Here is a 20,874-nt window from a genome sequence, read left to right as displayed (position 1 = left end):
CCGGGAGGCGGAGGTTGCAGTGAGCACCATTGCATTCCAGCCTGGGCAACAAGAGCAAAAACTCTGTCTCAAAAATAAATAAATAAATAAATAAATAAATAAATAAATAAAATAAAGCCCTCTTTGTGTTTCTCCTTTCCCTCTGGCTGCCAGGAGGCTTAGAGACAAGTAATAATAACAGCATTACAGTAGCAGTCAGAATTAAAATATTTCCTCCTTACACCCATGTTATGTGGCTCCTTCAACTGAAACCTTCTTGAATCTTTTAGGGGAAGAACAGGTGTAAATAAACATTTATGCAATGAGCCCAGGGGAGAAGTCTGGGAAAGGATCCAGGTTGAAGAGCAGAGGGCTTGGATGAATCTCTCAGCCTTCCTTTGATGGCAGCCTAGGATGAGAAATCTTGCTACAGCCGTTGAATGGAGGCAGCCCTCCTGAGAGGAGGACTGGCCACCTTAAGGCCTCCGGCAGGGTCACAGTCAGCACCCTCCCTGCCCAGGCTGTGAAGCTCGTGACCATGAACACATTTACACTTCAGACTCTATGTGGCTAGAATTTTTATTTTTAAGGAGGAGTCAGAAAAAGATTCTAGTGTGAAATCTCCTGACTGGTGAATGTTGGCAACTAATTTGCATTTTTTCAAAACACTATGTGGGACAAATCAAACTTGGCTGCAGGCCAGATCATGCCTGGAGGCCCTCCCTCGCTCAGCCAGTCAAGCCTAATCTACCTCCAAAAGAGTCTGTTGTGGTCGAGGTGGGGATGGGGGAGTTTACATCATTTTTCCTGAAACCTGCCTTTTCCTCTCCCTACATCCCAAGGGATCTGCCTTGTTCTGAGATGACCCACGCTGAACCACCCACAGGACACTGCCCCAGCCTTGGGTGACTGGCTTAACATGGACACTTGACCTAAAATGAGGCAACGAATCCCACCCCAGAGATATTTGCACTGGGGGCAGAGCAAGGACTGGTAGCTCCAGGGGCTGGAGCTGTGAGATACAGAAATTGCCAGCAGCTGACTGCTGTGTTTTCCATGCTGAGGGTGTGAGAGTGGCGACTAACAAGAAAAAGAATCCTAAGGGGGTCTGCATGCCTGGCTCTAGTTGTCCTAAGCCCACTACTTTCCTGTCCTAAAGGGACAGAATACCGCAGTGTCCTCATGGTATCTGGCCGTCTTGGCCAAGCTAGGACAGTCAAGTTTCTGTCCCTTGCAATGATCACTCCTAACTGGATTGGCCTGGGCCCTTTTCAGTCCTGCCTCTGACCATGGCTGGGAAAGAGTTTTCTGGATGAACAGGGGCTGCACTGAGCTTCTAATCCCAGCCTCACACCCCTAACTCTCTGAGAAACTAAGGCAGTTTGGCTGGGCGCAGTGGCTCTTATCTATAATCCCAGCACTTTGGGAGGCTGAAGTGGGTGGATCACTTGAGGTCAGGAGTTCGAGACCAGCCTGGCCAATATATTGAAACCCTGTCTCTACTAAAAATACAAAAATTAGCTGGGCGTGGTGACGGCCGCCTGTAATCCCAGCTACTCAGGAAGCTGAGGCAGGAGAATCGCTTGAACCTGGGAGGCAGAGGTTGCAGTGGGCTGAGATCGTGCCACTGTGCTCCAGCCGAAAAGAGTTGGACTCTTTTTGTTGACAGTGTAAGGCTCTGTTGTTTTGCATCTTGGTTGTGTCTGAATTTGTATCCTAACTGGTAATCTACCCCAGGAGTTCCAGTTAACATTTTTGGGGTGTTTTGTTTTGTTTTGTTTTGTTTGAGACAGAGTTTCACTCTTTTTGCCCAGGCTGGAGTACAATGGCAGGATCTTGGCTCACTGCCACCTCCACCTCCCAGATTCAAGCAATTCTCCCACTTTGGCCTCCGCAGTAGCTGGGATTACAGGCATGTGCCACCACACCTGGCTAATTTTTGTATTTTTAGTAGAGACGAGGTTTCACCATGTTGGCCAGGCTGGTCTCAAACTCCTGACCTCAGGTGATCCGCCCACCTCAGCCTCCCAAAGTGCTGGGATTACAGGCATGAGCCACTGAGCCCAGCCCAGTTAACATTTTTGATTGTCCTAACAGGAGAGGGGGCAATTGCAACTGGCATCTACTGGGGAGAAACCAGGGTTGCTAAACATCCTACAATGGGCAGGACAACCCCCTACAACCAAGAGTGATCGAGTCCAAAATGTCAGTACTGCAGCTCTTGGGAAGCCCTGGCCTACCTTCCCTGAGATTTAGTGTTCCCATCCCTAAAATGGGGACTATGGAGCTGTCATATTTTTCATGAGGACCCAGTGAGTTGACAGACATGATCCTCATTTCAGGAAAAGACAGGGTCCTGCAGAGATCATCATGAAGTCTTTATTATTGAGAATAAATTAAGATGGAAGCCCCAGCGAAGGGGGGCGGGGTGAGGCAGGTTGCCAATCTGTGTCCAAAGTGGGGCAACAGAGTCTCCACACAGGAGGAGGGTTCTAGGGTGGGCTTGGAGTCTGGCAGGGCCTGGCTCAAGGGGGCTGGGTTTGGCCCCAGAAGTGTGGCACAGGACAGGGAGGGAGGGCAGGGGCTCCTGCCTGCTGCCACAGTCTTGGGGAGGGGGAAGGGCTAGGAAACTCCAGCAGAGGGAGGGGGTTGGGACCCACTATGGACAGTCCTCACACAGCCCACGGAGTTCACCCCGTTTCCACCACCTCCTGCCCTGCCTGGGGCCCCCACACTCTCTCTCACATATACACATCTCATCTCCCCATGCTTGCCCGCTCCCCCCAGACTCTCTCTCTCTCTCTCTCTCTCTCCTCACCAACCCTCTCCTCTACCACGGTCTTATCCCTCTGCATACCCCCACCACACACCCTCACCAGTTCCAAGCCTGAGCCCCGCGGGGTGCGGCTGGTCTGGCCCAAGCTGACATCCCTCCAAACGAGGTTCTTAGGTTCTTTCCTTGGGTTGGCTTCGACCTGCCTAAAGTTGCAGGGCCGGTGCCATTGAGTGGAGGCAGGGGAGCTGGGGACTTCACGAAGAAATGAGGGCTCCGGAGCCTCAGGACAGGCAGCCATAGACATGCCTGAGTCCAGTGGAGGGCAGAGTGCTGCGCAGCGCAAAGGCACTGGGGCCCAGCGGAGGATGCCCCTGAGCTTGGGAGGGTGGGCTCTGGGTGAGTCGGCTTGACACGGAGAGCAAGCCCTGGGCCAGCCAGGCACCTAAGTGCCCCACCTCCACTGCCAGCGCACCTGGGGCCTCTGTCGGGAGGGCCCAGGCTGCAGAGGGATAGCGTGGAGGGCCAACAGGCCGGCCTCCCTCTGCCTTGGGGGTCTCCGGGCTGGGCGGGCGGGGCGGGCTGGGGGAGGGCGCCCGGTGCCGCCCGCCTATCCCCTTTGCAAGTCGGCTCAGACCTCCGGGCCGCCGAAGGCCAGGTTGTCGCGCACCATTAGCGTCTTGCGGAGGTCGCGGTCCACCAGGGGGCGCTGCATGCGCCACTTGTGCGCCTCCTGCAGGCCCGGCTCGAAGTAGTAGATGCAGGCGCCGAAGCCCACCAGAATGAGGACCGAGATGACCAAGTAGACCGGCACGAACCAGTCCAGGAAGTGCGGCATCGCGGCGGCCTTGGCTGCGGAGACACAGCGTGGTGAGGGCCAGCAGAGGTGCTCCCTGTCCCGCCCACCCAGAGGGAGACCTTCAGGCTTCACAGAGCCCGAGGCCCAAGCATCACTTTACAAATGGGGAGACTGAGGTCCAGGAGAGCAAGGGCGGGGAAGCGGCTGATCAAGACCACGTGGTAGGCCGGGCGCGGTGGCTCACGCCTGTAATCCCAGCACTTTGGAGGCCGAAGTGGGCGGATCACGAGGTCAGGAGATCAAGACCATCCTGGCTAACATGGTGAAACCCCGTCTCCATTAAAAATACAAAAAAAAAAAAAAATTAGCCGGGCGTGGTGGCGCATGCCTGTAGTCCCAGCTACTCCGGAGGCTGACGCAGGAGAATGTCGTGAACCTGGGAAGCAGAGCTTGCAGTGGGCCAAGATCGTGCCACTGCACTCCAGCCTGGGTGACAGAGCGATACTCCGTCTCAGGAAAAAAAAAAAAAAAAAAAAAAAAAAAGACCACGTGGTGACTCAGCCGCCCAGGCCTCGTGGGCAAGCACAGAGCTATCCCCACGCCATGGGGACACCCAGCTCCTATTCACCCTTTAAGGAGTCTTAGGCTGGGCACAGTGGCTCACACCTGTAATCCCAGCACTTTGGGAGGCCGAGGTGGGCAGATCACCTGAGGTCAGGAGTTCAAGACCAGCCTGGCCAATATGGTGAAACCCCATCTCTACTAAAAATACAAAAATTAGCCGGGCATGATGGCACGCACCTGTAATCCTAGCTACTTGAGACAGGAGAATCGTTTGAACCTGGGAGGTGGAGGTTGCAGTGAGCCAAGATCGCGCCACTGTGCTCCAGCCTGGGCAACAGAGCGACTTAACCATGAGCAGTTCTGGTTCAGTCTCTTGCCAGGATGTGTGCCCTTGGGCAAGTTGCCTAACCTCGCAGGGCCTCAGCTTCCTCCCCTATGGAAGGGGAAAGGGGCAACACCTCTACACTGGTCCTAGTGAGGATTCAGTGGGGTGACTGATCCCTGGATGGGGCCTGTGCAGGGCACTCGGTAAAGGACAGGTTGGGCGATGCCTCCTCTGGTCTCCTTGTGCCCCTGAGCCCCGGGGCCCAGCCCTGACTGCAGCTGCCATGGCTGCCAGTTGCCAGCACCTGCCCCTGAGATGAGTAGGTCTCCCAGCCACCTGCACGCCCTAGCCAAGTGTGGCCTGGTGAAAGTGTAGTGAACAAACACCCATTGAAGGAGACCTGGTTGATATCAATGGAGTCTACACAAGCCCAGTTTCATAGTTGTAAGGACAAGGCCCCTAGCACCAAAACACTTGGGCAAGATATTCAGACCTTTGGTTTCTACATCTATAAAATGGGAATGGGGCTGGACGTGGTGGCTCATGCCTGTAATCCAAGCATTTTGGGAGGCCAAAGCGGGTGGATTGCTTGAGCCCAGGACTTCGAGACCAGCCTGGGCAACATGGCAAAACCCCGTCTCTACTAAAAACTCAAAAAATTAGCTGGGCATGGTGGCACATACCTGTAATCCCAGTTACCCGGGAGGCTGAGGTGGAAGGATCACCTAAGTCTGGGAGATGGAGGCTGCAGTGAGCTGTGATCCCGCCACTGCACTCCAGCCTGGAGCAAGATCCAGTCTCAAAAAAAAAAAAAAGGGAATGGTAACAAGTACCCAGGTGATAGAGCTTTTGTGTCTGCTGAATGAGTTAATTTATGTAAAATATTCAGAACCAGTGCCTGGCACATAACAAGTGCTACATAGTAAGTTTGTTCTTATTCTCTGAGCCTCAGTTTCCTTATCTGTAAAATGGGGATAGAAATAGCACCCACGTCCTAAGGGTACTTTGAATTTTTTTTTTTTTTTTTTTTGAGACGGAGTCTTGCTCTGTCACCCAGGCTGGAATGCAGTGGCGCCATCTCGGCTCACTGCAAGCTCCGCCTCCCAGGTTCACACCATTCTCCTGCCTCAGCCTCCTGAGTAGCTGGGACTGCAGGTGACCGCCACTGCACCCAGCTAATTTTTTGTATTTTTAGTAGAGACGGGGTTTCACCGTGTTAGCCAGGATGGTCTTGATCTCCTGACCTCGTGATCCGCCCACCTCGGCCTCCCAAAGTGCTGGGATTACAGGCGTGAGCCACCGCATGCAGCCTGGGTACTTTGCAGTTTTAACAAGACAATGCCTAAAGAGCATTTTGCAACCAGGCCAATGGCTCATGCCTATGATCCCAGCACTTTGGGAGGCCAAGGAGGATGGGTCACCTGAGGTCAGGAATTCAAGACCAGCCTGACCAACATGGTGAAACCCTGTCTCTACTAAAAGTACAAAATTAGCCAGGTGTGGTGGCACATGCTTGTAATCCCAACTACTCGGCAGGCTGAGGCAGGAGAGTTGCTTGAACCCAGGAGGTGGAGTTCCAGTGAGCCACGACTGTGCCACTGCACTCCAGCCTGGGCAACAAGAGTGAAACTCTGTCTCAAAAAAAAAAAAATTAAAATAAAAAAGCATTTTGCACCATTCTGCCTGGCACAGAATCAGCACTTGGTCAATATCAGCTATTGTTATTTCCACTGAGCGAGAGGCGGAGAAGGCAGGAAAGTGGAAGGTAGCAGGTGTAAGGTGCGTCACAAACCTTATATACACCCAGACTCTTTTTTATTGTTTTTGTTTTTGAGACAGAGTCTCATTCTGTTGCCCAGGCTGGAGTGCAATGGCATGATCTCGGCTCACCGCAAGCTCCACCTTCAAGCGATTCTCCTGCCTCAGCCTCCCTTGTGAGTAGCTGGGATTACAGGCATCTGCCACCATGCCCAGGTAGTTTTTGTATTTTTTAGTAGAGACGGGGTTTTGCCATGTTGGCCAGGCTGGTCTCAAACTCCTGACCTCAAGTGATCCTAACCTCGGACTCCCAAAGTGCTGGGATTACAGGCATGAGCCACCGTGCTCGGCCCACCCAGACTCTTTAGAATGGCCCAAAGGTGCCCATCTGCTCCCTGCCAACCTCCCCCTCCTCACATGGCACACTATGTGCGGTCACATGGAACTGCCTGTCCGTCACCTACATGCGCCTGCACATTATGCAGTCCTCATCTTTGCATATGCTTTCATTTTGCATATGCATTCTTGTTCACTTGGCAAATTCCTACTCATACTTCAAAAGCCAGATCACTGTCTGGCTGTGGTGGGTCACGCCTGTAATTCCAGCATTTTGGGAGGCCAAGGCAGTGGATCACTTGAGGCCAGGAGTTCAAGACCAGCCTGGCCAACATGGAGAAACCCCGTCTCTTCTAAAAGTACAAAAATTAGCCAGGGGTGGTGGCAGGCACCTGTAATCCCAGCTACTCAACAGGCTGAGGCAGGAAAATCGCTTGAGCCTGGGAGGCGGAGTTTGCAGTGAGCCGAGATGGTGCCACTGCACTCCAGCCTGGGTGACAGAGCAAGACTCCATCTCAAAAAAAAAAAAAAAAAAAAAATTCAAAGTACCCTTAGGACGTGGGTGCTATTCCTATCCCCATTTTACAGATAAGGAAACTGAGGCTCAGAGAATAAGAACAAACTTACTATGTAGCACTTGTTATGTGCCAGGCACTGGTTCTGAATATTTTACATAAATTAACTCATTCAGCAGACACAAAAGCTCTATCACCTGGGTACTTGTTACCATTCTCTATTTTTTTTTTTTTTTGAGACTTGATCAGGAGATCAAGACCATCCTGGCTAACACGGTGAAACCCCGTCTCTATTAAAAATACAAAAAATTAGCCAGGCGTGGTGGCAGGTGCCTGTAGTCCCAGCTACTTGGGAGGCTGAGGCAGGAGAATGGCGTGAACCCCGGAGGCAGAGCTTGCAGTGAGCCGAGACGGCGCCACTGCACTCCAGCCTGGGCAACAGAGCGAGACTCCATCTCAAAAAAAAAAAAAAAAAAAAAAAAAAAACAGATCACAGATCACAGATCATCTCCTCCAGGGACAGGATGATGCAGGGCCTATTGAACCCACCCCCAACCTTCCCTAGTTATAAGAAAGGGGTGACGTGAGGAGCCCACCTCTGCCTGCCCGGCAGGTAGAGCACTGTTTTGACTTCCTCCACAAACTTCACAACAGGCCTATGGGGCAAGTGTCACTATCCACATTTTACAGATGAAGAAACTGAGGCCCAGACAGGCTCACTAACTTGCCTTGGCTTACCCAACTGGAAAGTGGCAGAGCTAGACGCCAAACCCCAGCGATGCCCTGAGGCTTGCGTCCTCCAGGGGAGGGAAAGGCACCTGAGCAGGATGAAATGAGCAGATGCCCACCTTGCTTCTGGGGAGGAAAGCAGGGGGATGGATGGAAAGAACTCCAGGTAGGTCGGAGAGAAGCCCTCACTCTTCTGACCTCCGTCTCCAAACTCCAGCTCCTCTTGTCTCTCTACTCCCAGGTGGGCCTGTGAGGGAAGCTGTGGCCCCAGGGGAGGGAAAGATGCTGTTTCCTGGTCCTGCATCCATCCGGAGCCCCTCTCCTACCCCAAAGGTCCTCACTGGCTGTTCTGAGGCACCGACATTGTATTAAAGTGCCCTATTTGTGAAGGAATAAAATGAAGAGTGCACTGATTATCCAAAGTGACTAGTGCAGCCAGGGCAGGGGAGCGTGTAGGACCCAGCACCTTTTAACCAGCTGCCTTTCTGGGGAGCTGGAGAGAGTGCAGGATTGTCTGGTGCTGCCAGGGTTGGTGAAGGTAGGGAAGGAGCACCTCAGGCAGGGAGGCTGCTCCCTGTGTGACTTAACTGTGTCCAAGGTGACTCATGCCCCCTATCCAGGCCCAGCCAGGCCCCCAGTTTCCTTCCAGCTTAAACATGCGAATGGAGGGCTGGGGCAGAACAGAAGCCATTTCAGCTGCAATGCTGGGGGATGTGGAATAGAGATCAAGGTCCCCCAACCTCTCCAGCCCTGTGCACAAAATCCCAGGCATTCTGAGGCTGACTGAGGACCCCGTGGTCTCTTCCTGATTTCTCAGGGAACTGACCTAGGTGGAAAAGCAACACACTCACTGGCCTCCTGTGTTATCTTGGCCCCTTCTTCACCCTCTCTGGGCCTCACGGTCCCCTGTGCACGGTGACAGGGTGGGGATGGGGTTACCAGATGATCTATATGGAATTTTCCAGCCTCATTTCAGCCAATGTGCTGCCTGAGACAGTGTGAGTTTGCAGAGCCCCTCTCCCTACCTCCCAAGCCATTGGCACCACTCGGTGCCCTCCGTGTGCCCAAAGACCCACCTCACGCCCTGCAGATGCCAGTTCCGGGGGCTCTGTGCTGAGCACACCGCCTCAGCCTGAGCAGCTCAGCATTGGCCCGTGGACTCATTCGCAGCTGCTGTCCCCAGAGACACTGCCATCTGCGGCCGCCCTGGGTGCTGGAGGCAGAGATAGGGCAGAGCCAATGCAACCCACGGGAGACGAGCTTCTCACACCCAGGGGCTCTGAGTGGGCCAGGAGGGGGCAGTCCTGGACTGGCTCAGCACCCTGGTATCTCTCCCTGCCCATCAGAGACCCTTCCCCCTAGCCCCCACTCTCAGGATGGCAGGAGGTGGGACCTGTCTCAGCCAATCAGCAGCCTGGCAGAGCAAGGGCTTTATCTTCCGTTGCCCTGGCAACCAGCCTTCTCTTCTGGATCCCTGGTACTGTGCACGTGGTACAGCAGATGACAGAGCGGCAGGATTGGGGGAGTGCGGGGAGGGGGAATCACCCAGCAGGCTGCAGGACCCCAAGCCTGGTGGGCCTAGAGAGGAGAGGACCGTGGCTGATAACTCTAAGGTTTGATGGTCTGCCATTTGGGGAGCAGGGAGATGCTGGGGTAAATGGCAAGCGGGTGGGGACAGAGAATCAGTGACCAGTAGAGCTCAAGGGGGTCATATGTTATACAAGGAAAAACCAAGACTGAGTCTGAGAGTTCAGACACATTGGCTCAATGTAACATTTCCTATGCACCAGACACTGTTTTCAACGCTTTGATTATATTAACTCAATTAATTCTTATTCATGGTCACACAGCAAGAAAGTAGCAATGCCAGGGTCAGAGCCCTAGCCTGGCTTTCAGGACCCTTGCAAATGGCTCCCCCTCCCCATTCTGCCTCATCTACCCCACAGCACCCCTGGCTGGTGTACAGCCAGCACAGGCATTGAGCACTCCCATCTTCCAGCTGGCCCCAACATCACTTCCTGCAGTCCTCCCAGCTGGATTGGTGTTGAGACCCCATTTTGGGATGAGGCAGAGAGGTGATGCTGCTGGCCTTCTCCTTCTCCCAGAGCCCTCAGCTTCTCAGTGACTGAGCTGGAATTCAAAGCCAAGAGCTGACGTTGGGGGTGGGGTCCACCTTCCCAAGCATGGATCCTCCCCCTCCCCCTATGCCATAGACAAGGTATCTGCCACGTGTTGAGGGCTATTCTCAGGAGGGAGAGAGCAGCCCCCTAGGGCCCACGGGGCGTGGCTGGGAAAAGGCTTCCAGGAACCACCTCCCTAGGGAATCCGTTCCCAGAAACCTGGGGATGGGCAGGGGGAAAGCCTCTGGGTGAGGTGGCTTCAGGACCTAGGTCCCCCACCACAGACACCTCTGCGCCATCTAGGGGCTCTTCAGGTATGACAGGTCCTTTCCAGCATATGTGGGACTGGGGGGTGACTGTGAGTTCACAGAGGGTTTGTTTTTTTTGAGACGGAGTCTCGCTGTGTTCGCCAGGCTGGAGTGCAGTGGCGCAATCTCGGCTCACTGCAACCTCTACCTCCCGGGTTCAAGCGATTCCCCTGCCTCAGCCTTCCGAGGAGCTGGGACTACAGGTGGGCACCACCATGCCCGGCTAATTTTTTGTATTTTAGTAGAGGCGGGTTTACGATATTGGCCAGGATGGTCTCGATCTACTGACCTCATGATCTGCCCACCTCGGCCTCCCAAAGTGCTGGGATTACAGGCGTGAGCCACTGCGCCTGGCCTTTTGCTTTGTTTTTTAAGACAAGGTCTTGCTCTTTCACTCAGGCTGGAGCACAGTGGTGTGATCATGGCTCACTGCAACCTCTGCCTCCTGGGCTCAGGTGATCCTCCCACCTCAGCCTCCCGAGTAGCTTGGACCACAAATGCATGCCACTATGCCCAGCTGATTTTTGTACTTTTTGTAGAGACAAGATTTTGCCATATTGCCCAAGCCGGTCTTGAACTTCTGGCCTCAAGCTATCCTCCTGCCTCAGCCTCCCAAAGTACTGGGATTACAGGCGTGAGCCACCACCTGGCCAAAGTGCTTTTTAACATTTTGGGGTGGGAGAGCAGAGGAGTTGGGGGAAGAATCACAAAGGGGCAGGAGTAAACTTTTTGGGGTGAAGGTATGTTCAGGCTCTTAATGGTGATGGTGGCTTCTTAAGTATATACATATGTCAAACTTATCAAATTGTACCCTTGAAATAAGTGTAGTTGATTATACGTGTCCCTTATGCCTCAATAAATCTGTAAAGTATGTGATCCATGGCCTGTCGGCATTGTTTTAGCCACTGATTCCTTATTCATACAAAAGCTTATGGGAAGCTCAATACATAACAGAGATAAAGTGGAGGTTGCTTCGGTTCAATGGTTGGGTGGGGGTGGGGGTTCTGGACCCCACCCACTCGGAATCCCCCGTCTCTCACAGGACCCCAAGTCATCTCCCCAGGGCTCCACAGAAGCCGATTTGAAAAATGCTGGCCCAGAGGACTCTGATGACCCTGCCAGCTTGGGTGTTCAGGATGTAAGAACCTCCAGGCCTCTATCTGGCCTCCTCCCCATCCCTACCCTTCATCATGTATGGATCTTAAACACAACTACTTTCTGTTCAGCCAATGATCACCGCCCCGGTGAAGTGGAGTGCAGGCTCCCCAGGGACACAGAGCAGCTTCCCCTGGGTTCCTGCTGCTCCTGGCTGCTCCCCGATGGCCTCCCCAACTGCAGTGCCTTGTCTCTTGTTACAAGTGGTAACTCCCTGAAGCAGTTTGGCCCCTCTGGGACCAGGGTCCCCAGGGCAGGCACTCAGCACATGCTGACCCAATGGGTCTCAGCCCGGCCCCTCCTGGAAAGTCCCCACCAGAGTCCAAAGTCTTTTCCCAGCCCACCACTCTCTAAGGGCCTCAGTCTCTGGGAGCTCAATCACCTCCGTGGCCTCACCTCCTCCCCTGTTCTTCTTACTCCATCTGCCACAGCCACTGGCCTCCTTGCTACGCCTCGGAAGTGCCAGGAGTGCTTCCCACTCAGGGGCTTTCCACTTGCACTGCCTTCTGCCTGAGGCCTCTTCTTCATCATACTTAAGGGGCCCCTCTCTCACTGAATTCAAGCATCTGCTCAAATGTCACCTTAGGGAGGCCTCCCTGCTCTAAAGTAGCCTCCTCCCATCCATCTCTTCTGCCAGACAGCTTTAGTTTATCTTTCATTTTTTTTTTTTTGAGATGGAGTCTCACATGTCACCCAGGCTGGAGTGCAGTGGTGCGATCTCAGCTCACTGCAACCTCCGCCTCCCAGGTTCAAGTGATTCTCCTGCCTCAGCCTCCCGAGTAGGTGGTATTACAGGCGCCCGCCACCGCCACCATACCTGGCTAATTTGTTTGTTTGTTTTTTGTTTTTGTGATGGAGTTTCGCTCTTGTTGCCCAGGCCAGAGTACACTGGCATAATCTCAGCTCACTGCAACCTCTGCCTCCCAAGTTCAAGCGATTCTCCTACCACAGCCTCCCAAGTAGCTGGGATTACAGGCATGCACCACCACGCCCAGCTAATTTTGTATTTTTAGTAGTACAGACAGGGTTTCTCCATGCTGGTCAGGCTGGTCTCAAACTCCTGATGTCAGGTGATCCGCCCGCCTCGGCCTCCCAAAATGCTGGGATTACATGCGTGAACCACCATGCCCACCCTGCTCAGCTAATTTAAAAATTTTTTTGTAGAGATGAGGTCTCACTATATTGCCTAGGCTGGCCTCAAACTCCCGGCCTCAAGTGATTCACCCGCCTCGGTCTCCCAAAGTGCTGGGTTATAGGCATGAGCCACGGCGTTCAGCTTACTTTATTTTCTTGTCATAGTGCCTACTACTGCTTGACTTTCAGGAAGTCCTCTCCACACCCCATGCCATGAGGAATGAAAGCCGTATCTGTGCTGAGGGCAGTGGCTCTATGGGGCCATTTACGTCCTGATCTTTCTGAGCAAGACACAGTTAGTTTAGTCTGCAGTAAGAAGGATTTAGGCTAGACAGTGTCTCTGCTCTCCCAGTTATTACAACAATGAACACACTGTTATCATTGTCTATCCCACCCCCATCAAACTAAGTTAATCAATAATGTCTGATTCAACTGACTTCCTAGGGTAGGGCATTGGGTCTGGGCATAGGAAATGATGAATGAATGACTGCTGAGAATGAATGGATGAATGTAATCCATCCATTCACTCAACAAATATTTATTAACTACGATGTACCAGGGACTTTTAGAGTGCTGGACATACAAAGTGACAAAGTCTCTAACCTCTTGTTTCTTACATTTTAGATGTAGAGACAGTGAACAAGTTATTATATAACTGTTGGCAGAACCAGTTTGCTATGGGCCCTGAGCGTCCCTGCATGTTCTTGCTGGGTATGTCAAGAAAGCAAGACCCTGACAGCTCTGTACTCAGGCTGTGTTTGCAGCAAGGAACCTTGAAAGATGAGGTAAAGTCTCCCATTGGACAAAGAACAGCATGCTTACCACTCACTGTAAAAGCAGTCAATTGGCAGGGCCTGCTGGTGTGCAGCGGTAGTCCCAGCTACTCAGGAGGCTGAAGCAGGAGGGCTGCTTGAGGCCAGGAGTTTACGACCCACCTGGGCAACATGGCCAGATCCCCATGGTGGCACTTGCCTGTAGTTCCAGCTACTCAGGAGGCTAAGCCAGGAAGATGACTTGAGCCCAGGAGTTTGAAGCTGTAGTGAGCTATGATCGTGTCACTATAGTCCAGCCTGGGCAACAAAGTGACGCTCCAAAAAAAAAAAAAAAAAAAGGGCCAGGCACGGTGGCTCACGTCTGTAATCTCAGCACTCACTTTGGGAGGCCGAGGCGGGATCACTTGAGGCCAGGAGTTTGAGACCGGCCTGGGCAACTTGGAGAAACCCCGTCTCTACTAAAAATAAAAAAATAAGTCGGGCGTGGTGACGCGCGCCCGTAGTCCCAGCTCCTTGGGAGGCTGAGGCAGGAGAATCGCTTAAACTCGGGAGGCAGAAGTTGCAGTGAGCCGAGATTGCGCGCATTGCACTCCAGCCTGGGCCACAAAGCGAGACTCTGTCTCAAAAAAAAAAAAAAAAAGTACTGTGTATGAGCATGAATGAATGAAAGTGAACAAAGGAATCACTAAAAACCTGCTTACTGTGGAGCGTGGAACCAAAGGCCTGTCCACCACGTGTTCCACGGGTAGCGCTGGAACGCCCCTCAGAAAAGGAGATAAAGGTTCGGTTCCTTTAAGAGGCCCCGTCCCGTCCCGCGAAGCCCCGCCTATAAGGAGGCACGTGCCCCCAGGCCGCGCTCTAGGGGCTGGACTCAGGGCGGTTTGAAAGATCGGCGCGCACCGCAGGAGCAACGGTTGGTCCTGCGGCTGTGATGTCGGTGTTGAGGCCCCTGGACAAGCTGCCCGGCCTGAACACGGCCACCATCTTGGTAGGTGCAGGCGGCCCTGCTTCCCCCGCCGGTTTTTCCTCCTGGGCGGTGCTTCAGCCACTAGGTCAACTGAGCTCTCTGAGGCGCCAAGCCAGCGCGCGCTACCGTGGCGGGGGCGGGGAATAGGCGGAGAGCCATGCTCTGAACCAATTGGAGTAGCCGCTCTCTGAGGTTGAGGGACGCACCCACCAATAGGTGCTCGGCGGACCCTTTCCCAGCTTCTGATTGGCGAGTTCCCGCGCCTGGAATTGGTTTTCCCGCGTCTGGGGGTCTGGCCTCCTGGAGAGGCCGGCGGTGGGAGCGAGGGTCGGGTAGTAGAGAGTGCGGTGCCCACAGGCCTGCAGCGGGTCCAAACCTCAGGCCCCCAGCCCGTGCCGCTTCGCGGGGTCCACTTCTCGGGAAATGTCCTCCGAGCCGCCTGCTGGCGGTGTCCCGATCCCCCCGGGAGTGGGTCGAAGGGCCAGGCCCTCCCCAGGGGGTGCTGTGCCTAGGGCTCGACTGTCCGCTCTCTCTCCCTGCGCAGCTGGTGGGCACGGAGGATGCTCTTCTGCAGCAGCTGGCGGACTCGATGCTCAAAGAGGACTGCGCCTCCGAGCTGAAGGTGTAAGTAGCCGCGGCTGTGGCCTGGGCCCACGTGTCTCTCACTCCAGAGGGATTCGGTCCTAGCTGCTAAACTCCGAAGCCCAGCGCCCCCTCCTCTGAGGCTGGTCCTTCTCCCAGCATGCAGCGTAGCTGGCTAGTCCCATGCCGTCTTATATCCCAACCTCCCCTTGCCGAGGTGGTGACTAAACAGAGCCCGTTTCTGGCAGAGGGAATCAGACAGGAGTAATCTGAATAGGACCGGACCTGTCCTGCCTCTGTGCTGGCCCAAGGAGTCGTGGCCACAAGAGCCTCGGGTGGCTAGGATGAGGTGGGGAGCCCTTGACGGCCTCTTTCCACATGAAGGGCAGCATTTAAACGGTCGCTATGAGGGGGGTACGGATATCTTGAGTCCTGCAATTTCCTGTTTTTCAGCCACTTGGCAAAGTCCCTCCCTTTGCCCTCCAGTGTGAATCGGCCCCGAATTGACCTGATCGTGTTTGTGGTTAATCTTCACAGCAAATACAGGTGAGAGCCAGAGGAAGGGGCAGTCAGGGCTCAGGCAGGCCTGGCTCAGGACTGTGCTGAGACGGTGACCTAACTTGTGATGGGAAGTGGTGAGGATGGGAGAGGCTGGCTGAGGTCAATCTGTAAGGTGAGGAGAGAGGAGCCAGTGGTCAGTGCACAATGTTTAAAATACACAACGGCCGGGCACAATGGCTCACACCTGTAATCCCAGCACTTTGGGAGGCCAAGGTGGGCAGATTGCCCGAGACCAGCCTGGGCAACATGGTGAAACCCCGTCTCTACTAAAATACAAAAATTAGCCAGGCGTGGTGGCATGTACCTGTAGTCCCAGCTACTCGGGAGGCTGAGGCAGGAGAATCATTTGAACCCAGGAGGCAGAGGTTGCAGTGAGCCAAGATCGCGCTACTGCACTCCAGCCTGGGCAACAAAGTGAAACTCCATCTAAAAAAAAAAAAAAAAAAAAAATTAAAGGACAAATATTTCTCCAGAGAAAGTCACCCTCTTGTCATTCTCTGGCCTCTAGGATCAGAGAAGCAAGGACTTCTGCTTTCTCCGTTGTAAAGTTTTGTTCTCTGGTTTGTTTTCTCACCCTGGCCTGGCCACCCCAGTCTCCAGAACACAGAGGAGTCCCTGCGCCATGTGGATGCCAGCTTCTTCTTGGGGAAGGTGTGTTTCCTCGCCACAGGTGGTAAGTACGTTCCTCGCCTGTTACTGCCCACCCCCAGCCAAGGGAAAGCTGGGGCGGCCGTAGGCTTCTTGCTGAGGCACCCTGGGTGATGGAAAGAGCATGTATTTTACACACACTGGGGCCTATCGGAGGGTGGAGGGCAGGAAGAAGGAGAAGATCTGGAAAAATAACTAATGGGTACTAGGCTTAATACCTGGGTGACAATGATCTGTACAACAAACCCCATGACACAAGTTTTAACTACATAACAAATCTGCACATGTACCCCTGAACTTAAAATAAAAGTTAAATTTAAAAACCGAAAGAACACATATACACATACTTTGGAATCTGACCTGTTGTCAGCCTTTCTAAGAGTGAATATGAGCAGATAACTCTGCCATTACTTGGAGTTGCCTAGTGGTTGCCTGTGGCTTTCGGTAAAATCCAAACTCTAAAGACATAAAACACTTTGCAGTTTGGCCTCTGCCTTCTGAGCTAGTCTCATCTCCGGTGACTCTCCTTCTCTGGGTCAGCTTATCGTTCTCTGAAAAAGTCCTGCTGTTCCTGAGACTTTGTAATATTAACAGTGAAAATAATAATGGCTGACATCTTTTGAGCTGTCACTGTGAGGCAGACACGGTAATTGCTTTGTTTTCATATTCCTATTGGAGGTAGGTGTTATTACCTCTGTTTTACAGTCATGAGGTTAAGTTGCCCCAGGCCCCTAGATGAAAAGTGGTAGAGCCAAGGTTTACACCTAGGTAAGTCCTGTTACAGGGCCCGTCCCTTTTTTTTTTTTTTTTTTTTGAGACGGAGTCTCGCTCAGCCGCCCAGGCTGGAGTGCTATGGCGTGATCTCAGCTCACCGCAACCACCGTCTCCCTGGTTCAAGCAATTCTCCCATCTCAGCCTCCCGAGTAGCTGGGATTACAGGCACCCGCCATCATGCCCAGCTAATTTTTGTATTTTAGTAGAGATGGGGTTTCACCATGTTGGCCAGGCTGGTCTTGAACTCCTGACCTCAGGTATCCGCCTGCCTCAGATAGTGCTGGGATTACAGGCCTGAGCCACCGCACCCGGCCGTCCTCTTTTTGTTTACTCTAGGCTTCTGTCAAATACATTTCCTCTTCTTTGTCTTGCTAACCCCTACAAATACCTCAAAACTCAGCCCCAGTGTCACTCCGGCATGCATGAGGTGTCTGACCTGTCTGCCTTCCCAGCTGAACTGTTAGCTCCTTGAGCAGAGTGCCTGGCACAGATAATTCTCAAGAAGCATTGGTGAGCAAATGCAGGCCAAGTAATTTCTAGATGTCAACTCACTGACTCTAGAGTGACTCAGTGGGGTAGGAGCTATTATTATCTTCATTGTCTAATTTGATATTCTTGACTACCTAGAAAAGAAAGTAGAATAGGACTGTCACCCTCGCGACTAGAAAGAAACTGAGCCCCAGAGTGGGGAAGTGAGTGACTCTGCCCAGCACTTCCTGAATTCCAGCCAGGAAGGTAGAGATTGCAGCTATAGCACTCATGGCTTCTTTCCAGCTGGGCGGGAGAGCCACTGCAGCATTCACCGGCACACCGTGGTGAAGCTGGCCCACACCTATCAAAGCCCCCTGCTCTACTGTGACCTGGAGGTGAGCATGCTGATCACAGAGACCAACACTATACTCGGGTGCGGGGAAAGGGTGGTCAGCACACAGTGGGCACATTGGGAATGCTTATCGAAGGACTTAGTATCCGAGCGAGGCAGCTCCTGAAGGGGAGGGAGACACAGGATCCTGGTTTGAGTGGCTTTTCTACTCACTGGCTATGACCTGGGCAGGTCACCCTGAGCCTTGGGGTACACAGGTGTGAAGTGAGGATGATGTGCTTTCATCTGGAGTGCATCTTATATGCCAGGCTCTAGCACGTGCTGCCCTGCTTTTGCTTTTGCTGAGTTTCTGCATACTCAGTTATAACTAAGTCTTATGTGTATGTATTTGTGAGTCCACTCTCCTGCTGGGGTGTAAGTGATTGTGAGGCCAAGCGTATGTCCGTCTCTTTAACTGGTGCATCCTTGTGTCCTCTGGGAGTCAGAATGCCTGATTTCCCCTTAACTCTCTGATTTCAGATCTTGTCTCGTCCCACCCCAAGCTAGGGTACCCAGCAGGCAATAGGGATGTTTGTTGGGTAGGTGGGTAGATGGTTGGATGCATATGTAGGGAATTCTGCCCCAACTGGATCCTGTTGGTGTTTCTCACAAGGTGAAACTAACCACGAGGGGTAGGAAAGTAGCCTTTTTGTTGTTGTTGTTGTTGTCGTTATTGTTTTAGATAAGGTCTTGCTCTGTTGCCCAGGCTGGATTGCAGTGGTGTACTCATGGCTCACTGCAGACTTGAGCTCCTGGGCTCAAGTGAACCTCCCACCTCAGCCTACTGAGTAACTAGGACTACAAGCATGCACCACCGCACCTAGCTAAGTATTTATTTATTTATTTACTTTTTTTTTTTTTTTGAGATGGAGTCTTGCTCTGTTGTCCAGGCTGGAATGCAGTGGCGCGATCTCGGCTCACTGCAAGCTCTGCCTCCCGAGTTCACGCCATTCTCCTGCCTCAGCCTCCCAAGTAGCTGGGACTACCGGCACCCACCACCACGCCCAGCTAATTTTTTGTATTTTTTAGTAGAGACGGGGTTTCACCGTGTTAGCCAGGATGGTCTCAATCTCCTGACCTCGTGATCCGCCCGCCTCGGCTTCCCAAAGTGCTGGGATTACAGGCATGAGCCACTGCACCCGGCCACTGTTTATTTACTTTTTAATATAGCGATGAGGTCTTGCTGTGTTCCCCACACTGGTTTTGAACTCCTGGCCTCAAGCGATCCTCCCACTTTAGCCTCCCAAAGTGCTGGGATTACAGGAGCGAGCCACGGAGCCTGGCCTTTAGCCGCTTTTTATGCAGGATAAATCCTGATGACTTTTTGCTAAAGAGGCCTCAGCAGGAGTTGATGTGCTCCCCGCGATGGGTCTACTGAGGGGTCCCAGGGCCCGCACTGCCACACCCATGTGCCAGGCCTGCTCCATTCCTTTGGAAACCTGTTTATTGGTTTTGAGATACATTTCGAAGAGTTGTGTTTCTGCTCTGTTCTGGGTCTTGTGCCTGTTACCGAAAGCAAAGTGATGAAATGCAGGGAGAACCGAGTCAGCACATGATCTGTGACCACCAATCCATCACCACTGTCTAGACCAGGGTCCCTTATCCTGGTGTCAGGGCACTCCTCTGGTCTAAGGGCAGAATTCAGAGGATAGCAGTCTGTGGCTGTCGCCAGTAGAAATGGGGATGTTTTCATATCACATTAGGATTGGGCAGGTCTCATCACTGTCTCATGTGGCAGCAGCCATTAGGCCTGCCCCTTGCTCGATGCATCGATCATGATACACACTTGACTCTATCACGCATTTGATTTCCTAGTTGATGACTACTTTTTGAGCCCCTGACCAGATCAGCACTCTGATCTCACAGATGGGACCCTGAGGCCTGGGCACACCTGAAGTGCCTGCCCCGCCAGGCTTTCCTCCCAGAGAGAACAGGCGACTTGCTCAGGGTCAGACAGCTCGTGAGTGAGGGGTAGAGCCAGCTGTTCTGCTGTCCTAGCCTGCTGACCGTGTGACTTTGAATAGGTCACTTTGTCTGCCACGAAGCATCTCTAAAGGGGAGTCACGATCTTTGCTCCATAGTTCAGGTGCTGGTGGGGGACAGTGGTGCCTACTCACCCTGTGACAAGTGGTGTAATTCTGTCTGTGGCCATGAGGTGGCAGGCCAGGCCAGGTCCTGGGTTCTCTCTTGGCCTGGGCAGGAAGCAGGAGGTCCCAGCCTGGTTCCCGCCGCAGCAGGAGCTGCAGAAATGCCTGCTCAGGACATAGGCCTGCATCCCTCAGATGGAGCACCCAGGGTTTGAACTGGCCTCCTTCTTCATGCTGGTGTTGTCCTCTTCAGAACACTCTTCTGCATAATTGAGTTTAAGCCCCACCATATATCTTGAGGCCTTTGCGTGGCAGGAATTACCGGCCCCGTTCCATTGATGAGGAAACACAGGAAGGTATGTGATTGGCCCAGTGAAATAATTGCCTAGGTCTGCTGGTAGGGCTCTGTGCTGGGCCCTGGGAACACAAATGAGTCAGATATTGGCCCTGCCCTCTCAGAATCTCATGAAATAAGCAGACATGTAACATAAGCAACAGCAGAAGGATTTGCTGAGCTCTGGGAGCCTGGTGGTAGAATTAGGTCATTTCTTCTTGGATGTCATGAGCAAAGTCATGATTGTGGTCAGACCTGGGCATTTGGGTCACGTCTCTGGAGTGATGTGGATTGGAGGAAGCCTGGCCAGAGGCAGGAGGCTGGGTCGAGGCTGCTGCAGGAGGCAGGTTGTGGAACCCAAGCCTCAGCAGCCTAGAGATAGATTTCAGGAACAAAGGCCACCAAACTTAGAGGACTTATTAAAAAAATACTTCCTGAGTTTCTGTGGTACCGACCACTGTTCTAGGCTCCAGGGACACAGCACAGAACAAAAGAGTCAAAAACCCCAGCTTCCTGCTGGGCACGGTAGCTCACACCTGTAATCCTAGGGAGGCCGAGGTGGAAGGATCACCTGAGGTCAGGAGTTTGAGACCAGCCTGGCCAACATGGTGAAACCCAGTCTTTACTAAAAATACAGAAATTAGCTGGGCATGGTGGCACACACCTGTAATCCCAGCTACTCAGGGGGCTGAAGCACAAGAATCGCTTGAACCTGGGAGGCAGAGATTGCAGTGAGCCAAGATGGTGCCACTGCACTCCAGCCTGGGTGACAAAGCGAGACTCTGTCTCAA

At 53.0% G+C, this 20,874-nt stretch overlaps 2 protein-coding genes across 21 annotated transcripts in view, besides 8 other annotated features; one reads left to right on the top strand and one right to left on the bottom strand.

The window, feature by feature from the left end:
* Positions 1-2,336: 2,336 nt before the first annotated feature.
* SMIM45 (small integral membrane protein 45) lies at positions 2,337-14,327 on the bottom strand. Of its 14 annotated transcripts, none has more exons than NM_001395952.1 (4): positions 13,318-13,586; positions 8,855-8,991; positions 7,898-8,037; positions 2,337-3,604 (listed from the first exon to the last, which is right to left on the bottom strand). In NM_001395952.1, the coding sequence occupies exon 4, from the start codon at positions 3,588-3,590 to the stop codon at positions 3,384-3,386; it is 207 nt and encodes a 68-aa protein (NP_001382881.1). In that variant the 5' UTR covers positions 3,591-3,604; positions 7,898-8,037; positions 8,855-8,991; positions 13,318-13,586; the 3' UTR covers positions 2,337-3,383. The 14 variants fall into 14 exon arrangements, 13 of the variants coding, with proteins under 13 accessions (NP_001382881.1, NP_001382873.1, NP_001382877.1 ...); NM_001395944.1 differs by lacking the exon at positions 13,318-13,586 and adding an exon at positions 5,124-5,171 and having other exon boundaries at positions 8,855-9,126; NM_001395948.1 differs by lacking the exons at positions 7,898-8,037; positions 13,318-13,586 and adding an exon at positions 13,970-14,327.
* Positions 3,192-3,421: a silencer, noted in NCBI's record as "silent region_13815". NCBI's record gives its function as "represses an Ori minimal core promoter by ATAC-STARR-seq in GM12878 lymphoblastoid cells {active_cell/tissue: GM12878}" and the evidence as "EXISTENCE:reporter gene assay evidence [ECO:0000049][PMID:35858748]".
* Positions 5,560-6,071: an enhancer, noted in NCBI's record as "NANOG hESC enhancer chr22:42351209-42351720 (GRCh37/hg19 assembly coordinates)". NCBI's record gives its function as "activates a minimal SCP1, AML or CMV promoter by ChIP-STARR-seq in naive H9 embryonic stem cells {active_cell/tissue: H9 hESC(naive)}" and the evidence as "EXISTENCE:reporter gene assay evidence [ECO:0000049][PMID:30033119]".
* Positions 9,670-10,297: an enhancer, noted in NCBI's record as "H3K4me1 hESC enhancer chr22:42346983-42347610 (GRCh37/hg19 assembly coordinates)". NCBI's record gives its function as "activates a minimal SCP1, AML or CMV promoter by ChIP-STARR-seq in primed H9 embryonic stem cells {active_cell/tissue: H9 hESC(primed)}" and the evidence as "EXISTENCE:reporter gene assay evidence [ECO:0000049][PMID:30033119]".
* Positions 10,142-10,201: a silencer, noted in NCBI's record as "silent region_13814". NCBI's record gives its function as "represses an Ori minimal core promoter by ATAC-STARR-seq in GM12878 lymphoblastoid cells {active_cell/tissue: GM12878}" and the evidence as "EXISTENCE:reporter gene assay evidence [ECO:0000049][PMID:35858748]".
* Positions 14,111-14,320: an enhancer, noted in NCBI's record as "active region_19151". NCBI's record gives its function as "activates an Ori minimal core promoter by ATAC-STARR-seq in GM12878 lymphoblastoid cells {active_cell/tissue: GM12878}" and the evidence as "EXISTENCE:reporter gene assay evidence [ECO:0000049][PMID:35858748]".
* The window catches only part of CENPM (centromere protein M), a 19,957-nt gene continuing 13,206 nt past the window's right edge, over positions 14,124-20,874 (top strand). For 2 of the 7 annotated variants that reach the window (XM_011530368.3, NM_024053.5), the window contains exons 1-5: positions 14,124-14,256; positions 14,780-14,859; positions 15,271-15,363; positions 15,972-16,051; positions 17,575-17,666. In XM_011530368.3, coding sequence (XP_011528670.1) covers positions 14,200-14,256; positions 14,780-14,859; positions 15,271-15,363; positions 15,972-16,051; positions 17,575-17,666 — 402 coding nt within the window. In that variant the 5' untranslated portion in view covers positions 14,124-14,199. Of the gene's footprint in view, positions 14,257-14,537; positions 14,860-15,270; positions 15,364-15,886; positions 16,356-17,574; positions 17,667-20,874 lie in introns of those variants that run through there. The other 5 variants (NM_001002876.3, NM_001304371.2, NM_001304370.2 and 2 more) reach the window with 5 other exon arrangements.
* Positions 19,901-20,100: an enhancer, noted in NCBI's record as "active region_19150". NCBI's record gives its function as "activates an Ori minimal core promoter by ATAC-STARR-seq in GM12878 lymphoblastoid cells {active_cell/tissue: GM12878}" and the evidence as "EXISTENCE:reporter gene assay evidence [ECO:0000049][PMID:35858748]".
* Positions 20,701-20,874: part of an enhancer, noted in NCBI's record as "H3K27ac-H3K4me1 hESC enhancer chr22:42335612-42336579 (GRCh37/hg19 assembly coordinates)", that runs on past the window's edge. NCBI's record gives its function as "activates a minimal SCP1, AML or CMV promoter by ChIP-STARR-seq in naive H9 embryonic stem cells {active_cell/tissue: H9 hESC(naive)}" and the evidence as "EXISTENCE:reporter gene assay evidence [ECO:0000049][PMID:30033119]".
* Positions 20,851-20,874: part of an enhancer, noted in NCBI's record as "active region_19149", that runs on past the window's edge. NCBI's record gives its function as "activates an Ori minimal core promoter by ATAC-STARR-seq in GM12878 lymphoblastoid cells {active_cell/tissue: GM12878}" and the evidence as "EXISTENCE:reporter gene assay evidence [ECO:0000049][PMID:35858748]".

This window comes from Homo sapiens, chromosome 22 (assembly GCF_000001405.40).
Source record: "Homo sapiens chromosome 22, GRCh38.p14 Primary Assembly".
Taxonomy (NCBI): domain Eukaryota; kingdom Metazoa; phylum Chordata; class Mammalia; order Primates; family Hominidae; genus Homo; species Homo sapiens.
Note: the sequence above shows the minus strand (reverse complement) of the source record. Positions and strands in the feature narration are given on the sequence as shown.

Excerpts from the sequence above, each read along its gene's own strand:
- SMIM45 (NM_001395947.1), bottom strand. The coding sequence starts at position 3,590 with ATGCCGCACTTCCTGGACTGGTTCGTGCCGGTCTACTTGGTCATCTCG.